The following is a 7,580-nucleotide window of genomic DNA, read 5'->3' as shown; positions in this document are numbered from 1 at the left end:
CAAAGAATGGCTTGGGTAAGTCTGGTTTGATGAGTAGATGAGTTTATTAGGACTTACATATAGGGCACTCCTGGATAATGGTAGGACAGCTCTAGACGTCTATGCCACCTCCCTTCTCTAAACTGTTTTTGAGCTAATTTTCTGGCTCTTTGTTCATTGTGTTTGAACAATGAAACTGTTTTCCTTGGTAGGTTCTCAGATACTCTCCAGGATGTTTAGGTTCTCAGGGACACCTGTCCATACCTGGGCACCATTGCCTTGGTTCACTGTATAGCCTTCAAGGTTCAGGCAAAGGACACACATCTGTAAATAAGCTAGTCAGGGGCCCATCACACTACAGTGATTTTAGTGTTTTCTCTAAATGCTCATTGCCAAACCCAAGGCCACCTAGATTTTCTCCCATGTTGTCTTCTAGGAGTCTTGAAGTTAGGGAGTGCCAGTTCTCTAACTTTAATTTTCCCCTTCAAAACCATGTTGGCTATTTTGGGACTTCTGTCTTTCCATATAGACTTTCAAATCAGTTTGTTGATATTTACAAAATAAATTGCTGGAATTTTAATTGGGATTGTGTTGAACCTACAGATGAAGTTTAGAAGAACTGACATTTTAACAATATTTAGCATTCTCCTATTTTAAACATAAAATATTGTCTATTTCCTTATAATAAATCTTCTTTGATTTTAAAGTAGGTTTTTAAAAATACTTTTGCAGCTCCTTACTTTGTGAGCTAGGTATTATTCATGCTAAGTGCAGGAATCTGTCACCCTGGACATTCTAAATTTAGCCCAGGCTTCTGGTTCCATGACTAGTATACAGACTGAATTTTTATTTTTATTTAATTCTTACATGTATCAGTGATATAACAGGGAGAGAGTGATTGCACTAACCCTTTCTACTATACTCTCTAGTCCCAAGATCATACTTGCTCTGAACTCTTCATTTGACTGCATTTTGAGATTCATCAAGTCATTGATTGTGTTAAAATTCTTCACATTCATAGTTTCCTTGACAGTCTGATGGATTCACTTGTTCCTCACATTAGCAGTCTTTGCTACAGTGAATGAGAAAAGGAGGAAGGGAGGAAGTGTGAAAAGGTAAGCTTGAGAGTGAAAGGTCTCTGGCACCTGTGTGTGGGTTGTTATTTACATTCTGAGCACACTTCTGCAAGCTTAGTAATATTCACCATTCTGCAGTGTGCCATGAAATTAACTAATGGAGAAACATTTTATGAGTATCCTCATTGAGATTCACAGACTTAACCCAAAAAACAAATAAACAACAAGAACAACAGCAACAACAACAAAAAACCACTAGAGACCATCAGCAATATCCCTAACAAAATAAAAGAGTTTATGAAGGTTGAGAATAATTTTACTCTTACACAGGCATAAACTTTGTATTTCAAATAAGTGATAAATAATCTTTTAAAAAGACAATGTTCATAATGTTTTCGTGGGTTGGATTAGAATTCTATTTCATGTCAGTTCTGCTTGTGAATGATGTCATTTATTGGTAAACATTTCCAAGATATTTTTACATTGACAAAGAAAACAGGTCAGATATGAGTTGTTTTCCTTGATGCTAGTAATCATGTTTGAAATACATTAAAAATTGTCTCAGTTTGAGGTTTAATTTAGGATTACTTTTCTTTCTGTGTATCAAACACGATTATTAGTTTTCTGGAGAACAGTATACATATGTCCATATAACCAGGTGAATCTTCTGTGTTTGTTCCATGTACCGCAGAAAAACAAGTTCATTGACAAACTGTATAAAATGTGCAAACATGGACAATTTTGCCCAGTCTCACCTCTCTACTGGACCAATGAAATTCTCCTAGTTGCCAACTCTATACAAGCCCTGTCTGGGCAGAATTGTTCCTAATAATCCTTGTCTGAAATTAAGTACCCCGTGGCCTAATCCTGCATGATAAAACTTTCTAAAACCCAAGTACTCAAGTTACTCCAGAATTTCATGTGAATAAATTCATCTGATCAGTGGCAAGTTTCTAATGAATTCAATTTGATGCTTGATCCCTACAGATTTTCCAGTGGTCTTTGAGGAGAATTTGGCATTAATTATAAATACGCCATTATATGATTTTTACACTACTTTATCTTGCAACTTTGTAGTTTTAAGAGGCTTAGAAAAATTTTATTGATGGTATAAGGTTTTATGTTTTAAAATTTTACTGCTACTCAGCATTCCATAATATTACTAGTATAATTTATTGACCAATTTCCCTACTGGGTTTATCTATTCTCAGGCTAATGCCACTTTTTATAATATCTATACTTTATAAAATAGCTTGAGAATAACTGTTCTACTTATTTAAAAAATTGTTTCTTCAATTTTTTTTCTTTTACTCTTCTGTGAAATGCTTGTTAAATTTTAAGAAAATCTTGTCATGATTTGGATTCAGATTGTATTGCATTATAGATAAATTTAGGAAAAATAGTTTTTTAACATTGAACCTTCCCATCTAGTAACAAATTCATATTATCTTTATGCAATTCTACTTATGTATTTAGAGTGAGTCTTGAGAGAAAGAAAGTTATCAATACCATCAGTTTCAGTACTGAGTGAAAGATGTAGAACATAAAAAAATCAGCAACAAAAGCCAAAATTGACAAATGGGATCTAATTAAACTAAAGAGCTTCTGCACAGCAAAAGAAACTACCATCAGAGTGAACAGGCAACCAACACAATGGGAGAAAATTTTTACACTCTACCCATCTGACAAAGGGCTAATATCCAGAATCTACAAAGAACTTAAACAAATTTACAAGAAAAATCAAACAACCCCATCAAAAAGTGGGGGAAGGATATGAACAGACACTTCTAAAAAGAAGACATTTATGTAGCCAATAGACACATGAAAAAAATGCTCATCATCACTGGCCGTCAGAGAAATGCAAATGAAAACCACAATGAGATACCATCTCACACCAGTGAGAATGGCGATCATTAAAAAATCAGGAAACAACAGGTGCTGGAGAGGTTGTGGAGAAATAGCAACACTTTTACACTGTTGGTGGGACTGTAAACTAGTTCAACCCTTGTGGAAGTCAGTGTGGCGGTTCCTCAGGGATCTAGAACTAGAAATACCATTTGACCCAGCCATCCCATTACTGGGTATACCCAAAGGATTATAAATCATGCTGCTATAAAGACACATGCACGTGTATGTTTATTGTGGCACTATTCACAATAGCAAAGACTTGGAACCAACCCAAATGTCTACCAATGATAGACTGGATTAAGAAAATGTGGCATATATACACCATGGAATACTACGCAGCCATAAAAAAGGATGAGTTCATGTCCTTTGTAGGGACATGGATGAAGCTGGAAACCATCATTCTGAGCAAACTATCACAAGGACAGAAAACCAAACACTGCATGTTCTCACTCATAGGTGGGAATTGAACAATGAGAACACTTGGACACAGGGTGGGGAACATCACACACCTGGGCCTGTCATGGGGTGGGGGGAGGGGAGAGGGATAACATTAGGAGATATATCTAATGTAAATGACAAGTTGACCAGTGCAGCACACCAACATGGCACATGTATACATATGTAACAAACCTGCACATTGTGCACATGTACCCTAGAACTTAAAGTATAATAAAAAGAAGAAAATAAAAAAATCCAGAAAATAAATAAAGGATATACAATGTATTAATCTTTAAATAAAAAACATATGTATTTATTAAGAGTCTACTTGTTAAGTGTATTTTTGGATATACATATAGAGAGACATGTGAATTTTACCAATATGTTCTTTAAAATTTATTTTTAGGTAGTGAAATTTTAGGTTACTTTAATTTTTCTACTCATTGTTTAAATTTTTGAAATCATTGTAATTAGAATATTTTGTATGATACAGAATCATAAAACTGTCATATTATACTCAATGTTAATGAATAAATAATTTTTTATATTATCAAAATGGCCATATTGCCCAAAGCAATTTACAGATTCAATGCTGTTCCTATCAAACTGCTAATGACATTTTTCACAGAATTAGAAAAAACTATTTTATAATTCATAGGGAACCAAAAAAGAGCTCAAATAGCCAAGGCAACCATAAGCAGAAAAAACAAAGCTAGAGACATCATGTCACCCAAGTTTAACTATACTGCAAGGATACAGCAATCAAAACAGCATGTTACTGGTACAAAAACATACACATAAACTAATGGAACAGAATAGAAAGCCCAGAAATAATGCCATATACCTACAACCACCTGATCTTTGACAAAGTTAACAAAAACAAGCAATGGAGAATGGACTCTGTATTCAATAGGTGGTCCTGGGAGAACTGGCTAGCCATATGCAGAGGAGGGAAGCTGTACCCATTCCTTATACCGTATATAAAAATCAATTCAACATGAGTTGATTAGACTTAAATCTAAAACCAAATACTATACAAACCCTGGAAGATAACCTAGGAGATACCATTCTGGACATAAGACCCAGCAAAGACTTCATGACAAAGATGCCAAAAGCAATTTCAACAAAAACAAAAATTGACAAATGAGACCTAGTTAAACTAAAGAGGTCTTGCATAGTGAAAGAAATTATCAACAGAGTAAAGAGACAACCTACAGAATGAGAGAAAATATTTTCAAACTATGCATCTCACAAAGGTATTTTATCCGGAATCTATAAATAACTTAAACAAATTTACAAGCAAAGAACAAACAACCCCATTGAAAAGTGGGCAAAGGACATGAACATATCCTTTACAAAAGAAGACATACACGAGGCCAACAAGCATATGCAAAAATGCTCAACATCACTAATCATTAGAGAAATGCAATTTAAAATGACAATGATGTACCATCTCACACCAGTCAGAATGGCTGTTATTAAAAAGTCAAAAAATAACAGATGCTGGAGAAGTTATGGAGAGAAGGGAATACTAATGCACTGCTGGTGGGAATGTAAACTAGTTTAGCCATTTTGGTAAGTAGTTTGGCAATTTCTCAAAGAACTTAAAACAGAACTACCATTCACCCCAGCAATCCCATTATTGGGTATATACTCAAAGGACTATAAATTATTCTACCATAAAGACATAGGCATGCTTATATTTATCACAGCACTATTCACAATAGCAAAGACAAGGAATCAACCTAAATTATCCATCAATGGTAGACTGGATAAAGAAAATATGATACATATACACCATACAATACTATGCAGCCATAAAACAGAATGATATCATGCCTTTTGCAGCAAAATGGATGGAACTGAAGGCCATTATCCTAACCAAACTAATGCAGAAACAGAAAAACAAATACCACATGTTCTTACTTAGAAGTGGAAGCTAAATATTGAGTACATATGGACTCAAAGAAGGGAACAACAAATACCAGGGCCTAGTTGAGGGTGGAGGTTGGGAGGAGGGACAGGATTGAAAAACTACCTATCAGGTACTATGCTTATTACCTAGGTGACAAAACAATTTGTACACCAAAACCCTGTGACATGCAATTTACCTATATAGAAAACCTGCACATGTAACCCTGAATCTAAAATAAAATTGAAATAAAAATTAACCAAGTTTGTTTTATTCTGCTTGTTATTATTTTTTCTTCATTTATAATTTTAAATGAGGAATATTTCATTTTCTTTCAATTACATTTCAACATCAATTAAAATAATATTAAGCAGGGCACAGTGGCTCATGCCTATAATCCCAGCACTTTGGAAGGTCAATGAGGGAGAATAACTTGATCCTGGAAGTTCCAGACCATCCAGGACAAAAGAGAACATGGCTCTACATAAAAAAAAAAAAAAAAAAAAAGCATGATATGGTGACACACACCTGTGTTCCCAGCAACTCTGGAGGCTGAGTCGGGAAGGTTGCTTGAGCCCAAAATTTGGAGGCTACAGTGAGGTATGATCCCACCACTGCAGTCCAGCCTGGGTGACAGAGCAAGACCCTGTCTCAAATAATAATAACAATGATAACAAATTTTATTTTATTCAAATTTTAATAACAAAATTCATTCATATGTTTTTGAACATTTAAGTATGCCTGTATTTCTGAGATAAGCTGCATTTGGTTATTATATTTATTATTATTAATATTTTAATTGCATTAATATTCATAATTTGCATTACTTTTTAAAATTTCATACTTACATATTTTGATTGGTAACCAGTCAAAAAATATTTCCATCTTTTTCCTAGGATAGTAATATGGTCTGAAAGTTTGTGTCTCCCTAAAATTCACATGTTGGAACTTAATTCTCAATATGATAGTATTAAGAGATGTGGGCTTTAGGAGTGATTAAGTCTTGAGCAGGGAACCCTCATGAATGAAATTAGTATTCTCACAAAGGAGACTTGAAGAGCCTCCTTTCTCCTTCTGATATCTCAGGATACAAAGAAGATGCCATCTAGGAAGAATGAGTCCTCATCAGACACCATATCAGCTGGCACCTTGACCTTAAACTTCCCAGATTCTAGAACTGTGAGCAATAAATTTCTGTTGTTTATACATTACACTGGTTAAGGCATTTTGTCTTAGCAGCCTGTGTAGACAAAGACAGATAGGTACTACTTCAATAGCGAAGGAATTATCTCTTTCTTCAAAGTTTGCTAAAACTCACCTGTAAAATATCCTTGTCCTGGCACCTTTTTAAGAGGCATATACTCGACTTTTCTTTCAATATCTTCAAAAAATTTAAGCCATTCACTTTTTTTTTAATTTTTTGAGGGAACTTTGATCATTTAATTTTTTGAAAAATAGATGACTAATCCAGGTTGATGGTTGTCAACTTGGGCAACCCACAGACGATGTCTAGAGTGTACGAGAGTATTTTTGACTTTTACAATAACTAGGTAGACTCACTAGATACCAGTAATGTATAGAAGGCCCAGTAAACATGATCCAATACATTGGACAGCCTTTACACAAACTAACAAAATAATCCTCAAAATTGCACCTATGAGAAACATAAACCTAATAATGGAGATTCACTGGTGTAATGATGTACATAATATTCTTTCATACGTTGAAATAGGTATCATTTAAATGTCTTTATTATTCCTTTTCAACATCTTAATAAGACTTGCAAAGATTTTTTAGACCACCACTACAGTCAAGATACAGAGCAGTTTCATCACAAGTACAGACTCCTCTATTGCTCTACCGCTTTTTAACCAACCATTGGCAGCCATTAAGCTGTTCTTTATCTGTATTATTTTCTCACTTCAAGATTTATATAAGTGAAACCATACAGTCCATACTTTTGTATTGGCTTTATATTTCATTCAGCATAATTCCCTTACAATGCATTCAAATTGTTGTGTTCATTTTTTTACATCACCGAGTATTACATTCTGTTTAACCATTCACAAGTTGAAGAGCATTAGTTGTGCATAGTTTGGGCTATTATGAATGAAAACGCATGTAAAGATTATTGTGTTTTCTTATCTCCAGGACACCACCATGAAAACGCATGTACAGATTATCGTGTTTTCTTATCTCTGGGATAAATGTTCAAGAGTGCAGTTGCTGGATAGTATGATAAGGAAGTGTTTGGATTGTAAGAAGTC

Source organism: Homo sapiens, chromosome 5 (genome assembly GCF_000001405.40).
Source record: "Homo sapiens chromosome 5, GRCh38.p14 Primary Assembly".
NCBI lineage: Eukaryota > Metazoa > Chordata > Mammalia > Primates > Hominidae > Homo > Homo sapiens.
This window is presented reverse-complemented; position numbering follows the sequence as displayed.